Source organism: Homo sapiens, chromosome 6 (genome assembly GCF_000001405.40).
Source record: "Homo sapiens chromosome 6, GRCh38.p14 Primary Assembly".
Lineage (NCBI taxonomy): Eukaryota > Metazoa > Chordata > Mammalia > Primates > Hominidae > Homo > Homo sapiens.
This window is the reverse complement of record NC_000006.12, coordinates 93411848-93430154: the sequence shown is the minus strand read 5'-3', so window position 1 is coordinate 93430154 and position 18307 is coordinate 93411848. Positions and strand designations below refer to the sequence as shown.

The 18307-nt window shown below is 37.6% G+C and overlaps 1 protein-coding gene across 13 annotated transcripts in view, besides 1 other annotated feature; it reads left to right on the top strand.

Annotated features, from left to right (window-relative positions):
• Window positions 10349-10548: a silencer, noted in NCBI's record as "silent region_17402". NCBI's record gives its function as "represses an Ori minimal core promoter by ATAC-STARR-seq in GM12878 lymphoblastoid cells {active_cell/tissue: GM12878}" and the evidence as "EXISTENCE:reporter gene assay evidence [ECO:0000049][PMID:35858748]".
• EPHA7 (EPH receptor A7) overlaps window positions 10596-18307 on the top strand; it is a 179540-nt gene continuing 171828 nt past the window's right edge. For 11 of the 13 annotated variants that reach the window (NR_164810.1, NM_001376466.1, NM_001288629.2 and 8 more), the window contains exons 1-2: window positions 10596-10910; window positions 15388-15452. Coding sequence is in view for 10 of the 13 variants with exons in the window: in NM_001376466.1 (NP_001363395.1) it covers window positions 10814-10910; window positions 15388-15452 (162 nt within the window). In the remaining 3 variants the exon portion in view is untranslated. Of the gene's footprint in view, window positions 10911-12772; window positions 12895-12994; window positions 13201-15387; window positions 15453-18307 lie in introns of those variants that run through there. The other 2 variants (NM_001376471.1, NM_001376470.1) reach the window with 2 other exon arrangements.

Sequence of the window (18307 nt, the reverse complement as noted above, 5' to 3'; positions counted from 1 at the left end):
CTAATCACAGAAGAAAACAGTAAAAAACTGGATTACAGTAAAATTAATATTTATCAAAAGATACCATTAACATAGTGAAAAGACAAACCACAAAGTGTGGCAAGATACGTATATCTGACAAATGGTGCATATCTAGATATAAAGAACTCTTAACAGTTTATGAGAAAAAAACAGATGACTCAAATAAAAAGGCAAAAATTTTGAACAGATTCTTCCCAAATGATGATATCCAAATGGCCAATGAACATATACCTATACATACATATGCAACTCTGTGAACAAGTATTTCAACTCCTAAGAATACATCCAATAAAATGCACATATATGGTGTATTGCTTTGGGCTTCTATAGGAAAAACACCATAGATTCATTGAGGCAAACAACAGAGATTAATTTCTCACAGTTCTAGGGGGTAGGAAGTCTGAAATCAAGGTACTGTCATGGTTGGATTATGGTGAGGGCTCATTTCCTGGTTTGCAGATGGCCATCTTCTAGCTGTATCCTCGCATGGCAGCGATCATCTCTCCTGTCTCTTCTCATAAGAGCACTAAATCCATCCATCAGGGTTCCATGCTCATGACCTAATTACCTGCAAAGATCCCACTTGCAAATACTAATATGTTGGGACTTAGGCTTCAACCCTGAATTATTGGAAGGCACAAACATTCAGTCTTAGCATATGGTCATCAAATTAGAATTCTAGAACATATCATTTATAATTTTCAAGAGCAAGGAATTACTAAATGTATATGAACAGTAGGATAAATAAATCAATTTGGTTTATTCTTGCAATGGAATTCTGTACAACCATGAAAATAGAGAAACCACAACTACATGCACTATGCTCAATAACATGGACAAATCTCTCAATTGGTTAAGCGACTACACCAGACACAAATTACATAATAACAGATTCAGGTCACATAAACTACACAAAATGGAAAAACATTTTATTGGAAGTAGAGACTGAGACTTGACAAGAAGGGGGATTTCTGGAAGTTCTTAATGCTCTGTTTCAAAATTCCACTACTGGTTACGCAAGTGTACTCACTTTATAAAAATCAATCAAGCTGTATACTTAATAATAAGTACGTTTTCCTTGTATGCATTACTCTTCAATAAAATTTTTTTTTAATTCTAAATGATAATGGTGCCTCTTATCATTGAGAAATATTAATGGACTTTGTTGTTCAAAGTCTTGAAATCATCTAAGACTTGGAAGTTGAAAGTTAAGCCACAGCTACCACCTTTCTTTTGGCTTTATATTCTGGCAGGAAAGACCATGAAAATGTCTTGTGTTTTTGGCAGCAGTCTTCCACTGACTTTTCTTCAGCTTCTTGCTTGGTGAGAACAGTGGCAGCAATGATAGCTGAGGGAGTAAGGGTTCTTGTTTTCAGCTTCCTGATTCCAGAATCGCTGCTCCAGAGATGCATTCCGAAACCCGCTCCACAGGTGGTTTTAAGTGCAGAAGTGTCAGTGTTGAAGAGTTCTGCACGGATCTGGTGATCATTCTTGGAGGACCAGTCTAAAGCCTGTTTCTTCAGACTCATGGGTGACAGCCCCTAAGATGACCCCAATGATCCTGAATCCCAGTACTCAAGTCCTTGTGTATCATTCTCCTCTTGAGTGTGGACGGGACCTAGTGACTGCCTTGCAATGGGCAGAAAAGTATAGGTATCACTTCTGAGATTAACTTACAAAAAGATGGTGACGTTTATCTTTCTTGTGCCTTGCTGACTCTTTTTTCCTTGTGGTCCTGGCTCTGGATGTAAACAAAGTGTATGTTGTGAGTAACCCTATGAAGAGGTCTGTGTGGCAAGGAACTGACATTCGGTTTGCAGACAATGAAAAATGAGGTTGCCACTGTCATGCTGAGTGATCTTGGAAGTGGGTCTTCTGACACCTAACAACAGTCACTTGTGTTTTAGGAAACAAATCCTCCCCTTCAGCTTTGAGATTATCACGGTGCAGACTGACATCTCAATTGTGACTTTGTGGAAGACCCTGAGACAGAGGACTCAGCTAAGTTGATTGGATTCCTGACACACAAAAACTATGAGATAATAAATATTGGTTTTTTTAAGCCTCTGAGTTTTGGGCTAATTTGTTATGCAGTTATGTATAACTAGTACAATAATGTTCAAAAATTTTGTGAGCAGCTAATTTTCCAAATTAAATTTATTCAGCTTAAAATGCCTAGGGTAGTGTCTGTTTCATCAATAAAGTGTAACTTTTATACTCCCCACTGTGCCCTTTACATATTATCTTGCTCCCTGAAATTTCCTTTCCCCTATTCCCCTTGGCGGACCACCTATTATTGGCAACTCAAGGTCAATCTACAATGCCAGTCCCTAACAGGATGCTCTCCAGTCTGATTTATTGCTCTGAATATATCTATCAGATATCTACCTATCTCAATTAAAAGGCAGTATCCGTTAATTGTGTATTTCTGCCATATACTAAAATAAGTATTTCTTGAGGACCACAATGGAGAACATTTCCTAGTCATTTTTGCATGCCAGTACCTAGCCAAAACCTGGAGAGCAGAATGTATTTCTAAAGTGTGATGAGTGAAGGGAAATAAAGAATAAAAGAGGGAAGAAGCAAAGAATGGAAAAAGAAAAGAACAATTAACTATAAAACCAGTCATTTTTCAAATACAATATGGTAACTACAACATGATGCCCCAAAATCTGAATGAATTCTTCAGTGTCTCATTATGCAGCAGAAAACATATTTCAGGCTAAATGTTGCAGAATGGGATAAAATGAAACGGGTCAGGGCCGCAATAAGATGTACCTAGGTTTGCTAAGGGAAATGCTTGGATCTGTAGGTGATGGAAGTAGCCTAGAAAGGCAGGTTGTATATTGTCCAATAAATATTTTGACAGGAAGACTGGTACTATCTGCAAATGGTTGACATCAGACAGATTCAGAAAAACATAGTAGTAGTTGTCTAAAAGGTGGCAGGAAAAGTCAGGCATTGACGAGCAGTTCACATCCAGGCAGATGGCAGTTGTCCACATCAAGACAATGTATCAGTAACTAACAAGGCCTAAGGCATAAGGCCAGGTTCTGGACAAGGATCCCATTAGAGGGATGGGGAAGCAAAAAGTTAACCTATGGAATACACACTGTAGTTCTTAAGAGATTTGAATACCAATTTTAGAAAAACAGACATAGACTTTAATTCAAAAATGAAACAATGGTCCTCTGAATATTTAATTCGTGATCTTTGAATGTTGTCTTCCTAAGGCTAGGCTTAGTTTGCATAGAGACTAAGATGGCTTCTACTGGGTGTAGAGAAATATGTAAAATCTATGCATCACATAGACCTTGGAAATGATAGATATGTGTATTTGAATAGGTAAATATTTCTGGATCTATGTTTATGATGAATCAGACACCATTAGAGAAATACATTTTAACTATTTACTTTAGCATTGAGATAAATGCCTTATAATGGTAAGCCTTGAAAATTTTACATTTTGAATTACAAGTATTACTAGAGAATACATTTCGGATTAATCTATAAAGCATAAAACTGCAAAATTACACATTTCGTACAATGGTACACAGAATACACTATCTTAGTCAAGTTTTAACTATAACTTTAAAGATATATTTATAATATAGCTCTAGCAGTACAATTTATATAAAATTCATACTTTCATTCTCTGATCAAAAAATTTATCTATTTAAGTCTTAACCTTGATTAAAAATTAAAATGGCTAAGTGTAGGGCATTTGTTTTTAAATATTCATCATATTTTAAGATATTTGACTAGGTAGAACTCTAACATGGACTCTAATGTGTTACTACTTTCCTTTCCTTTTCATTCAGTATCATTCCGCTCCCTGTTTTATAGCCTTCTGACCAAGTATAACTGATTGGGCCAGAGCTGCCAATTCTCTAAAATGGACACAACTACCATTTATCTAAAACGTGATAATCCACTGGACTTTCTCAAAAGTACCTAAGAATATGCATGTAATTATTGTACTGCATTTCTTTATTAAAACTTAGAAAGTAATTGTTCCCTCAAAAGTTTAAATCAAAGGTATATGCAAATATATTATAATTTGTTAAAATAAAGACAAAGATATGATAGTATAGAAAAATTAATTTCAAGTTGAGATCTTAAAGAACTCTCATAAGAGATCTTGTACTTCTTATTGAAATGCAGGATAATTTCTCTTTTCTCTGTACTTGTGAGGTAGATAAAGTAGGTTTTGTCTTTTATGGTTATCATCTATCTTTAAATGAAGGAAATTTCTGCCAGAATTTTCATGTTTTTAAGTTTCACAGACTTTGCAACCAAAGCCTGCTTGTTAAAAGCTTGCTGAAAGAGTGACTATCAGATATTAAAATACTTAATTAAACTGAGATTGACCTCAGTCATTTCATCAATCTAAAATCAAATAGAGAATGTGGCAGGTTAATTCTGTAGCTTATCTACAGCAATGAGCCTATGAAACCAAACAATGATAATAATAAGCTCATAGAATCTGAGATGATGTAAAATTTTTATGAAATTTTCTGTCTGATATGAGTGCAGGGAGGGGAAAAGAAAACAACTTTAGACAAGTCAGATGATAAAAATCCTTACTGTGCATTGAATTTTCTTGCAGTTTATGGTCAATAGTGCAATTATAAAGATATCATCACTGTTGAAATCAACACAGAAAAACTGAATGGTTACCTATTTCTCTAAGTATATGATATTCTCCCTGTTTTCAAAAAGAAACATGAGTCACAAAGGCATCATGATGGGTGTTAGGTCTTTTGTGTATTGGGTTATGATTTATTCATCTGCGTATGTCCCTAGTGCCTTTTTGTATTTAATAAATACATGAAAAGCCTACTTTTGATAGAGGTTTTGGTCACCATTCTCTCTCTGGAATCTTATGACAGATTGTGAATCTTTAATCAGTTTGATCCACATTATCAAGAAGAAATACAGTCACTTATCTTTTTTAAGTTTGCTTGTCGAAATGGTCAAATCTAGCATCTCTCTTTTGAGGGCTTCTGCTCTCCTTAATTCCTCCTGAGAATCTCTAGGCATACACTCAGTCGAAAGGGATCATATTTTGTCCAGATGATTATAATGTTCAGTGCACTACTGACTTTAGTTACATCACTGTCATATCATATATCTTTTAAAAATTGGCTGTACTTAGTATTACTACAATGATACCTTGTTATATAGATCCCTCCATGCTATAATGTCACTTCACCTTTGAGCTAAAATGGTACAGCTCTTTTAGTTCATACTTGCATAATCAGCATAAATACCATAGCTAGGTTGCTGGGTTCCAAGGCCTTTGAATATCAGCAAATGTCTTCACCCAGTAAATTTTAAGCTCAATTGTATTTCCCTTACAGTAAGCACTTCTTTGTGATACTTGGGCTCATTTCTTTCTCAGTCAGAACCATTCTTATCTTTCAGAGCTTCTAATACTGTTAAAACTCAAATGGGATAGGTTTGGGATCCTCTCCTCCCAGGAAAGTCCTTGTCTCTTATATAAATTTGTCTTTTCTTCAAAGAGAACAACTGCATGCCAAGTCTAGAGGTATTATAAGACATCACCTCTGGTATGTATAGAATTTTACCCTTCCTCCATGGAGAGAATGTCCACAGCTTTACAATTTCACAACTAGGGGGCACTACTCCCGCATTTCTTTCTCTAAAACAGAAATTCCAAATTATTACCATACATAGAAACTCATTATTTTTTAGACCTCTTCTTAGACCTTTTTGAGATTAGTCAGGCAAGTTTTGACAGAATTTCATTTTTAGTATTAACCACGGCAGAAGATTAGGATGAGGTGTGGTGTCTAAAATACTCCTCAGCCTAGAAAGTTCTCTGGGAACTTCAGAGGATCCTTAAAAACTCTGGACTGTTAAGTCCCAGAGCATGCTCCATCCCAGCCTGGCCCTGTTCTTTGGGTAAAAGACTAAGATAAGTGGGAACAGACTAAGGAAGAGAGTATCTGAGGTCACTCTGGAAACTCAAAATTCTTCGGGTTAGTTAAAAAAACAAAAACAAAAACTGGAGCAAGCTTTTCCATAGTATAATTCACCTTCTAATGTGCCTTTGAGCCTATTCATTTAACTTGGCCTCTATGGACTAAAATAGGTCATAGGACATCTCACAAATTTTTATGAAGGCATTTTGTAGCCTGGCATAGGTACCGAGAGAAAAAGAAACTTAAAAGTAATCAATGAGACAAATATTATATATTCATAATATATATGTATATATACATGCACAAATACACACACATACAATTTCACAACTAACTCATCTTTACCTTGTACAGGGTGGACTTGATTGTCCAGGACACCCAGAGGTCCTGTTGCCCCCTGGTGGTCGCTGAATTATCACAGATCTTGATACCTAAAAATCCTCTGGGTGAAGAGCTTAAAAATTACAACATGAGAAACCATGGAAGCATGTAGAAGTAATTTGAATAATTTAAGCCAGTTCATCCTATCAATCCTGGTGATTTATGGCAAAATGAACTGGAAGTAATGGAAGAAAAGAGCCTCCCCATGCAAAATCAAGTTTGAAAAAAAAAAAATCCACTAAGAGCACCGAACATGTGCTACTTGATTTCAGGTATAAAGTGCTACATTTTCCTAGCTACATTTTGTTATTTTAATATTACTTAAAAAAAGAGTAATTTGACTGAACACTTTTTAATATTTTAGGTGATTAGAAAATTTCAGTGGTACCTCAGCAATAATATTCAAGTGGACTCATAATTTAGATATAAATTATATTTTTATTTGTTAAACTGTCTGAAATTAACTTGGAAATTGTACTTAAAGAATTATAATTGTAATCTTCTGAACTTTATTTATCTGACTTCACAAAAGTGTGTGAAATTTTACAAAGGCACAAAATAAATTCTTGACTTATGGTTTGATTTCTGACCTCTGACTTCCTATACTTTCAGCTAAATCTGAGCTTAGAAAAATTCATGAATTAATATGTTTTTAATGAGTTTAGGTTATGCACATTTTTTACATTAGACTGCAAATAAATATTTTATATACACTACATAAATCATGTTAATGTAAATATGTAAATGATTTTCCTACACAGTGGAAAGATTGTTTATATTTTGACTGAAATCACAGAATCCAATTTTCTGTAATATCTGTTAACTAAGACATAATGCTTCTTTTCTGCTTATAATCAATTTCTTCTGCACAGTACCTTTTCTAATTCAGTTTAAATTACCCTTTTTCTGTGATGAACTTGCATTTTCACATTTGCCAGCTGTGAATGCATTTTGATGATAAGTACAAAAGTAGTGGGTTCAGAAACAGCCCTTTGATTTCATTGTTGTTAACTATTTAGTTTGACAGTCTTGGATTTGTAACATACTGAAATCTCCAATTGTCCCTTTGCCCTCGAATGGCCTGAATACTAGACACACACAGTATAACCTTTTCTTTCATTTGAAAATTCATAGAACTTATTCCCTGAAGTCATTATAATTTACTCCTATTTCTCTCTTAAAATCAGAGAATATTTCCCAGAGTTAAACAGTGAGGTAAATATTAGTATTGTAACAAGTTAAAACAAAATAGCAGGTGTACCCTCATTTAGAATGTGTCTTGAATTTGGACATTTCCCTACATGTACAGTCATGTGATTATTGGTAATTATACAAATAAATAATACAAAATGCATTAAAATTGGGTATATCTCCTTAGTATCTGAAGAGAGGCGTTTTTCATCTTTCCACTATACATTTATTATAGATGTTGCAACAGAGGGGATATAAAATTGAAATATTAAGGTCTTAGTCTCTGTTTCCATTTACTTAAAATTCACTAAATATATGTGGACGACGCTATCAACTTAGTTGTACAATGAATGCATAAAAATGTAAAACTAGTTTTCAGAATTATTGCTTTGGCGCACAGGTGTTGGTCTCATACACTATTTGGTATTGCTCAGGAAGACAAGTTCCTTTTGAATTCACTTTATATACAAACACATCGCATTATTAAAAATAATTGATTAGAAATAATATGCTTAAATCATAAAATGAAGCTAAAATAAATTGTAATGGTGTGAGGAAGTTCACCATTATGTTATTTTAAAATGAGAAAGTTTTGTATACTGATAATTTTTATGTCAGTGGCTTCATGTACAAATAGGTCTATATGCTTTATCATTAGTCAAATACAGTCGAGTGTAAATTTATATATTAATCATATACTGTATGCTGAACACTGTCTTCTTGACTGTCATTTATTTTTATTTAAATGCTCCGAATTCTTTGTCAATATATCTAGATACTACAAAAGAAAGAAGAGAAGTTTGAAAAACCTAAAAATCAGTATCACTGTGCAGCTATGCAGGGAGAACTGTCAGCAGCCTGGCACATGTGCATTTAATGTGAAGCTTCTTGTCTCTAAAAATAAGAGTAAAGTTACACATGCCCCTGTGTCTGACAGAGAGAAGGGACACAAAAAGAGGACTCACTATACCACCTACACTCATCAGAGGAGTGAAGGATGTTACTTCTTTGGTTTCCTGGTTTTAATGGAAAAGTATTTGTATTCACATCATTGAGTATTAGTCATTCAATAGATGAAAGGAATATTTTAAACTTTAAAGGCCACCTTGGTGTCATTTTAAGAAGTGGGGATGAGACCCTGGGGAAAGTGTTGAAATCCTGGAGAATTCGTTTTAACTATTAGAAGTGGTTTAATATTTGTAAGTTTGTAGTTCTGTGAGTTCTAAAGACTAAGTGCAGGGATTTATGTTTTTAACTCTTATGTTTTAGTTTACAAGTTTCATCCTTAAATCATCTATTTGTGTAAATAAAGCTTCATCTCCTCTATAACAAGTGTGTTCTCCCCATATTTTTTTTTGTCTCTTTCTAAGGTTAATCTATTACGCATTTACATTTTCTATGCATCCTTTAAGGGACACTGAAGATGCTTTTTGATACACTTTCTAAAATATTAAATAGGCATAATGGCTAGGAATATGTAACATTGAAGAAATGTTTCAGAAACTACAGAATCAAAGAGGTTTAAAGAATAAATTTCATATCTCTCTTCCATGTTATTTTATTAGGCAAATAAAAACTACAGGAGACAATTTAACATAAAATACAAATAAATATCTGGGGGTTGTCATCTTAGAGAACTCCCTACTATAAAAAGCAGAAACAACTCAATTTACTTTATATTTCCAGATAGAAAGGTTGGAAAAAGTTTGGAGCCTTATGTGAGATCAAACTTTGGATCTATCGGAAATAAAAGGAAATCATAAATGACTGAGAAATATTTTTAAAGGAAGAAATTATAGGACAAAAAAAGAAATTCATCTTAAACATGTGATCAAGTTACTCTGTGTGACCTTTGAAATTGAAGATTTGGCAATTAAAATTTTAAAGTTCTTCCTCTTATTACCTACCTCTTGAATACAAAGTGTCCGAAACTGCCTAATGGAAAACAGATTTCTCTACGCAGCCTTCCTTGCCGTTCGGGTTGAATGAATTCAACTGGAGATATTGGTTATGACTTTTTTTATTCTTAGTTTCTCTTTGAAAGATAAGCATTGAATAATTCCTGAAAATGGTAAATACTTGCGAAGAGAAAGGTCTTGCTTTATGAATTTAATACGTAGTGGCATTCTTTAAAATTCAGTGTAATTTATGCAGCGAAATGGAAAACTATCAAAGTGGAGGCAATCCAAGGAAAACCTTAGAAAATGATAAACGCGTAAAAAAACGATACGCAACCATCAGAAGGTTCTCTCCTAATGTCTCACTTCGCTCAACAAACTATGGTGAAAAGACAGGGCGGAGGAGAAGGGGCGCTTAAAACAAAAGACTTCCTTTCCCACTCCCTTTTCCTCTGTTTCTTTTGCCAGAGCTTGTTGCAAACTCTTGGAAACATTGTTTAAACATAATACACTTGGTTACTTTATTCTTTCAGGGATTGTGGTGGGTGGTACCTAAAACTGACGGCTCTTGGAGTAACAGAAAAAGAGAAGTAGAAACTTTTCAAAAAGGCAAAAAACAAAGTTACCCAGCCCGCGGAGGTTCTAACAACAAAAAAGTAAAACACACTTTACTTAAAGGCACAGCTCATTTCACTGTCCGGGCTCCGTGCTTGGTAGCTGAGAGAAGGCTTGCTTCGCCTCTGGTTTCTAAAAGATCGCGCGGAGTACAGCTATAGAAAAGAGTGTAAGTTGGGAGCGTTATTCTCGGATTTATTCTGCTACGCGAAAGCTGCGGTTGCTAAAAGCAGAGCGTCCAAAGCAGCACACACCTCGGCTACCATCCTCGTTCTCCTCTGAACATCCAGCGCGAGCTCAGAACCTGGAGGGAATCCTGGACCAGCAACCTGACTCCGCTCGGCACCGATTGGCTCCTGCCTCGGACCCCGCCCCCGTGGCCGGGGCGGCCATTTCGCCGGGACCCGCCCCTTGGCCCTGGGAATCGCCTCCTGGCAGGCCGGCTGTGCCTGCCACTCAGCCCGAGTGGCGGAGGCTCTCAGCTCGGAGCCCCGCCCCCTCCCCCCCTAATTGATATTATTGGAGTGTGGAGCAAGCGGCCGGTCTGCAGTCGGAGACTTGCAGGCAGCAAACACGGTGCGAGCGAACAGGAGTGGGGGGGAAATTAAAAAAAGCTAAACGTGGAGCAGCCGATCGGGGACCGAGAAGGGGAATCGATGCAAGGAGCACAATAAAACAAAAGCTACTTCGGAACAAACAGCATTTAAAAATCCACGACTCAAGATAACTGAAACCTAAAATAAAACCTGCTCATGCACCATGGTTTTTCAAACTCGGTACCCTTCATGGATTATTTTATGCTACATCTGGCTGCTCCGCTTTGCACACACAGGGGAGGCGCAGGCTGCGAAGGAAGGTAAGGTGATGGGAAAGCAAAGTTTGTTCTGACTTATTTATTTAGATGTCTACCTGCACAAGCCAGCTCGTCCGCGGCGCTGCCGGCCGCGCCTCCGGCGCCGGGCGACCCTCCCCCGCCGGCTCCCCGCCCCCTCACCGCTGAGGCCGCTCCTGGCGGACCAGCGAGCGCGAACCAGGGCTGTTCCGAGCCGCCTACAGCCCTGTGCCCGGAGCCGTCCATCCGACGGGTGCGGGATTTCTGGCGCGGGCAGTCTGGAGGGCGTGAGCAGCAACGGGGGTGGGGTGGGGTTGGAGGAACTGCCGGCGAGCTTATTTCTTAGTACCTCAGGCGGGTCACATCTCTCTCTAGCTCGGTCTTCCTTGTCTCCTTATTCGCCTTCTGTGGGAGCTGCGGCCAGAGTTGGGTTGGAGACTGGGAAATGCAGCCCCTACCGTCTCCGCCAGCCCGCCGGCGAGTGGCGGGAGCCCGGAGCCTTCCCAGAGGGACCGAGACTTCGATGAGCTCGGAAAGCTCGGGTTACTAATGAAGTGCTCACTGCGTCGGAGGCGGCGGCGCGGTCCTGCGGTTGGCGCTCGGCCGCCAGCACGGAACAATAACGCCGCGGAGGTGAAGCGCGGCGTGCGGCGCGCGACCCGAGGGCCGGGGATGTCTCCATTCAGCGCGCGCTGCGCGTCGGGCCCAGCGGTCATGGGGGCAGCGGCAGCCCAGCGGGCTTGGTCGGGCCGTGGAGGCAGGGGGCGGGCTGGAGCTGTGCAATTTGTAAGGATGCCGCCTGGGCGACTCAAAGTCCCCAATTATTTGCCCCATAGTGCAGCAATTGAGGAATCCGAGTGCCCAATCCTTGCCAAAGACCTGAACCCTGAGGGTTGGTTCTGGTAGGAGAAGGCAGGTTTTATTTGGCAAGCTGTTACAGATACGCCTGTATATGGTTATGTTTTCCTTCTTTGAACCTTTGACAGAAGGTAAAATACCTTTCGGTGCCTGTAGTTGGAGCTGGGGAAAAATAAACCCTGTCAATGGAAGTCTCTTGCTTTTGAGCAGTGTCACAATCCCATCCCCAACCCCCCTCATCCCGTCGCCCCCCTGGTCTTTCAGGCTGTGTATCTAAGTTTCATTTTTCGATCTGTTAAAAGCAGAAGAGAAATAATTACTTATTCCTGATGTGTAGAGGGAGAGGAATCTGTTATGAAATTTAGGTCATGGTGGTTATCGGGCGGGGTGTTGAGGGGACTTACATATAGGTCCTTGATTCATCTATTTCTGAAAACTTAGTGCACCTTTTCTTTATTCTCATCGTGCACTCCTCTTAGTTCGCTCAAGCCCCCCTCAAACCCGGCGCCAAATTCTAGTCCTTCTTTCAGCCTGACCTTCTGACCCCACTTTCCACATCTGCAACCTGTATAGATGCTGAACCCATTCAGAGAACCCCGTGCCTCCAAGCTGGCGGTTACGCGTTTGCAGAAGGACGGACATCTGCTAGAAACGCACGCTCATCCCCTCCAAAACCACATTTCTACTCCCCTGACGTTAGCGATCAGAAACCTTCAGCCCTGGCATACTGTGATTCCTCTGGAATAGCGGACCAGAGGAAAAGTTTGCACCGCCGCGGCGAAACCCCGCGCGCGAACACACGCAGACTCGGGCTGGAGTTTGGGCTATAAATAACTGCATCACTAGGGGGAGAGGTTCCTGCAGCCAGAATGTCTAGTTCTCTTTGCTCTTCTGGGTGCAAGCTACGTGAAGAGGATTCTGATTCTAAGAGCCTGAATTCTTTAGATGCAGAAGTGTGATGTATAAAAGGCGCGGGGGTGATGGGAGGGAGGGTGGTGATCTGTGGCTGGCGGGCGGCGAGTGCGCCCGGCTTCTAGGCGGCGACGCCTCTAGGGCGCAGCGGCGACCAAGAGCTGGCGTTCTAGGAGTTCACAAGCCCCGAGGCGGCCCGCAGTACCCAAGGGCTAGCGCTGGGAACCGCTTGAAGCAGGTGCCGGGCCTCCTGGGGCATTTGGGGGTGGCTAGAGGAAGATAAGAAACCCCCTTCCCTCACTTTCCTTGTGCACGTTCTCTCGGGTTGGTCAGTTATCATCGCTACAGGGAGCGCGTGTCAGAGTCTGACGCTTGAAGGCAAAGTGCAGCTGCTTACTTTTTCTCTCCGTAAATGCCGCCGCCGCCGCCGCCTCTTCCTCAGAGGAGATGCTTCCCGAAAGCCACTCTCCTCTTCCCGAAAGCCACTCTCCTCTTCCCGACTCCTTCTCGAGCGAGGGCGCCACCGGCTCCCTGGAGTGCCCAGGTCTGGCAGAGGCGTAATGGATGCTTGGCGCGGCTGGCGCGCCCGTCTGGCAGCCCCCGCCCCGCCCCTCCGACGGCCCCGCCCCAGCCCCGGGACGCCAGCCTTTGCCCGCGCGGTCGTTGCCTGGGTCTGTCAGGGCGCGCCCCCAGTCTAGCCCCTCTCCCATCACCTGTTGGCCCACAGGACTCCGGGGCGCGGAGCCCTGGAGTCCTAGGCCTGGCCCCCAGCGTCCGGGTGAGCCGAGGGACTGCGCCTCCGCGGGCGCAAAGGGAGGTCGGCACTCTGCTCCGAGCGGGAAGGGATACGCGCTCTTTTGAGGGTTTAACCAGAGAGCGGACCGAGCAGAAGAGAGACGCACGGATCACTTGAGAGCGGCTTCCGATTAAACGTTCTCGGGCCGGGTTCTGTTTTGTTTTAATTTGTTAGTTTGTTTCTCTCTTAACTTGGCCATCACTGCTGTCTGCTTAGGTCCCTTGCTTCCACCCCCAGGCTGAGCTGAGGGGTAGCAGAATGGCAATAAACAGTAATCTCGCAATGTTTATTTCACTCTCAGAAATGACCCAAGAAGGTCACCTGCATTTAAAATCCTGTTGTCTATATTCAGCACACAAGAAAAATAAAATAAAAATTAAGAAAGCATCTCAAAAAGAGTAGAGTACCTGACCACCCACCTTGTTTCCCTGTGCTTCATGTCTGTTGTTGAGGATAAAAATAAACTTTAAAAATTACTTTTTATATAAATTCGCTAGTCCAACGATTTATCGATGTTACAAGTTGAAATTCAAATTGGCATTTTGAAAGTGTTGTGGGTGTGTTTCTCATTTGAAAGGGAGTCAAATGTTTCTGATCAAGTTTTTTTTTTTCCTGTCAGTCTCCCTGAGAGTCTTAAGTGTAAAACACTAAACAAAGAAACAACAACAACAACAAAACAAAAATCCTGGGTCTCTATATCTATTTTCATTTACAGTGAGTAACTTTGACTAGTGTGAAGGAATTAAACACATAATCAACTGTTCCTTTAAACAGATAATCAGTTGTTCCTTTGTTTTCTTATCATAACACATTTTTGTCTTTCAAATACATATTTTATCCCTAGTGATTGAGTTGTATAATTATTAAAAGTTCATATAAGCATGTATTTTAAGTAAAAATTTTAACATTTTTCTGAGGCTGATGTTAAGCCTATTGACATACTTAAAATTTATTCACTATTATTTCTGGACAAATTGATGCATTTGTCAAAATGGTGTAGAGTCAGATAAATATTTTTAAAGTGCAAAAACTTATGTAACTCTGAAACCAGTTTGACCAAAAGAGTGAGTGCTTTAGAAGAGTAATTGTCCAAAAAAGAAATAAAATATATCAAATAGAAATATTATGTGTATTAATATATAACATTCTAATGCATTCTCATACTGATAGTATCAGGAGCATTTATAACACTTTATATACATTTTAAATTAATCGCATTATGCTTTTTGATAGCATAAAAGTGAAATACAAGTGATTAGAAGTCAGAGTTGATACCATTTTGAGAATTATCTATCACTTTGAAAATTAAGAAATTAAAAAAAATGCTGAAAAAACTGATGCTTGACTAACCTGAATAAAATCTTGCAAATAATAGGCAATTTGGTTTTCTGATAACATTGCTTAACAGTTTTTAACATTTCTGTATTCATTTTAGCTTAACGACACTGTATGTGGAAAGATTTTTTAAAAGATAAACTCCAATTCTCAAAAGACAATAGAAAATACTGCTGGCAGAATGTTACAAATTAATGACTGGATCAAGAGTAATATAGGAATTATACCTTATTATGTTCATGTTATTGTATTTGACAAATTTGAACAGCTCAATGGTTTACAAAACCGTAATATATAATTACTGTGGAATTAATGTATCACATATAAAATTTCTACCCTCATTCTAATATTGCATTTTAAGATTTAATATTGTAATTAAAGCATACCAAATATAATATTGGTGTCTTAATATCTTTTTTCCTTTAAGGAAGTGGAATATACATGTATCAGGAGGGTGTTCATTTCACCATTGATTTACATAAATAACTACAGATCTTAAGTCATATAGTGATAGTTATATGAAAAGATTCACCTTAAAAATGTCTACATGTGTGCGTAAGTGTTTCATGTAACATATGGAAATACAACTTTCTTTTTCAGTACTACTGCTGGATTCTAAAGCACAACAAACAGAGTTGGAGTGGATTTCCTCTCCACCCAATGGGGTAAGTTTTTTTCATCATAAAATATCACTTTTTTAAAATAAGAAACAAAACGTTTCCCTTCCCTCCAGGGTAATTATTCACACTCTTCATGTATAAACTGTTTAATTCCAAATATCTTGTCCAATATTATGTTGCATTTATAATGAGACATTGAGTTCCCTGATTAGAGAGGGTATACTTAGAACTTGGGGAAATGGAAAAAAAACCTCATAGCCATAGTCTTTTGAGTTCTTATTGTGTGGAATCATACCTCAGGGTCCAGGCTGTAAATGCTAACTAATTACAGGGAACATTCCTTTCACAAACTCACTTAAACCTCTTTAGTTGCTTTATATTTCTAGTATAATCACCATGTCAGTGGTATATAATTCTTTAAATCAGTATGTAATCAATCTGTTTTCCTATTTTTAAAAGTTTCAGCATCATTCAAAATGTACTTTAAAATATAACTAAAAATGTACTATGTTCAACATTTTGGTATACAATTTACTATAAAATATTATATAGATTCTCCAAATTTATATTATGTGCTATCCGCTGTTATTAATCAGAAATGATGGCAAAGCCTGCACATATTACAATAAAAATCTGCAATAGATATGAGTGAAAATTGTCCAGTAATAACCTACCAAAATATTAGTAAATCTTTAAAAATACTAACCATTATTTTTCATATGTAAATGTAGCTCAGTATCCGTGTCTTCAGATCTTATTTTTAATTGTGAGAGAGGGCACATTCTTTATTCCTTATCAAGTAAGAGGGCTTTGAGAAAGGAGAAGATACCCTATTGCTATTTGTGTTTATCTTTGGCTTATTAAAAACCGTGTGGAGTGTAAGTTATGATACAAAAACTGTAGCATATTTTGCAAAGAGAAGAATGAAAGTTTGAAAGAGATTGTTGAGATCATAAAATCAGCATGTCAGGAACTGAAAGTTTAAGAATGTAAAATATGAACAAAACAAATCTGTTTAAGATATTTAGAGTTTTCATTAAATTTAATTTTTAAGATTCCTTTCATTCATATTGTGGTTATCTGTATTGGTTATGATAAATTATAAATCAATGACAACCATTTTACAGATTAAATATAAAAATTCCATGAGTTGGAGGTATGAATATAACACCTTTCTTGAGATAAGTGGTTTCTGTAAGTAAAATAATATACATTATAGACAGCCATTCATGATAAAAAATGAAACACCTTTCTTGCCAATGACAGATGTAGCCCATTTTCTACCATCCATCAATTAAAACAAATAGAGATAGAGGATGGTTTTATCTCTGAGGAGAAGTAAACTGATATATGATTGTAGTATTTCATCCATGTAATACACAAAATGACAAATTATGACTGTCAATGTTATCTTGGACTCAAATGGGCATTTTATCAGTCCAAAGTATCTTAACAGTTAACCCTACATGTCTGTAAACATCAACACATAATATTAGAAAACAATGATGGACAATATTTTCTATATCTGTGCAATAGGTTAGTTTGCATGTGACTAAATACCTAACTAAAAAAAATGTTCTTGAGATATAAGTTTTGAGAAAATATTTCTATAAACGTACTATAAAAATGCAGTGTCTGAATGAAGACATTTTTCCCAATGGCGTCATTTGTGGAAATGTTCATAATGTCTTAGAAAGTGAGATAATAAAACAACAGTTGTGTTAAATGAATTTATGTAGTCTCAATGTTTGTAGTCTACATCATAGTTTTCCTGAAGCATTCCCCTCTGGAATAAAATTTTAAATAAAAATAAAAATTAATTGGGTTTCAAGGGTAGTAAAATTGATTTTTCTTATACAGAATAAATGAATAAATTTGTTCTCGAAGTTAGATAAAGGAATTCTTAGGCTATATTCTTTTAAAATAATTAGCTTTGGTTTCTTCAAACTGCAGAGTTGTTAAAAAGGAGCACATTTATCTTTGGAGCTTTTGATTTTTTGGTAGATATCATTACTAGTTTTACTTCTTTCAGCAATTTCAATCTAATTAAGAGACTGAAATCTAGCCATCCAAATGGATGAATTTGGTTATGTTTGGCTGATTGCCATTCAGATTGTAGGCAGCTAACTGAAACAAAGGGAAGCTAGGCACACTGTTAACTAGTCACAAATGCAAGTTGAACTGAGTAAAAGCTGAACATTAAAATGGGTTCTTTACTACATTTGAGTACCTTTGATGGTATTAGACTGTGTATAACAAAATCACACCAAATATATAACATCATCAAAGAAATTTCTGAATTGTATTATATTGCTAATTTGTCAGTCTTGTTAATTTTCTAAGGACTGGTTTTAAAAGTATACATTAATATTGTACAGAACATTTAAATAAATCAATACTCAAATCAAGTATTTAAAATAAAAGTATTTACCCATGATTTTTATTTTCTCATCTTTTCTTGAAACAATAGTTAAAATATTGCATGCTATGCAACTTTGGACTTGAACACAAATGTTTTGTATTTGAATTTTTTATTGGGGAAATTAATATTAACATGACAATTTCATTATTAAGACATCATAAATACAAAGTGGGAAAATTATTAATAATTGTACGAAGAAAACAAACCATTCATTTAGGCTTTTAAGATTCCTAGGTGAAATGATTTTATTGATTAATGAGCGACAGAATATTATATATGGTTTAATAGTTTGAAATTGTTGCAAATTCTGACAAATGCACTTTTTTTCCTTTTTTGAGAAAATATTTAATATAGATTTGTTTGTAATGTACATTATATCAACATATAAATGGACATTTTTAAACATCTGATATTTTTCCTGTCAGAAGGTTTATACTAAATATGATCCAGCATGCAGATTTGCCATGTACATTTGATT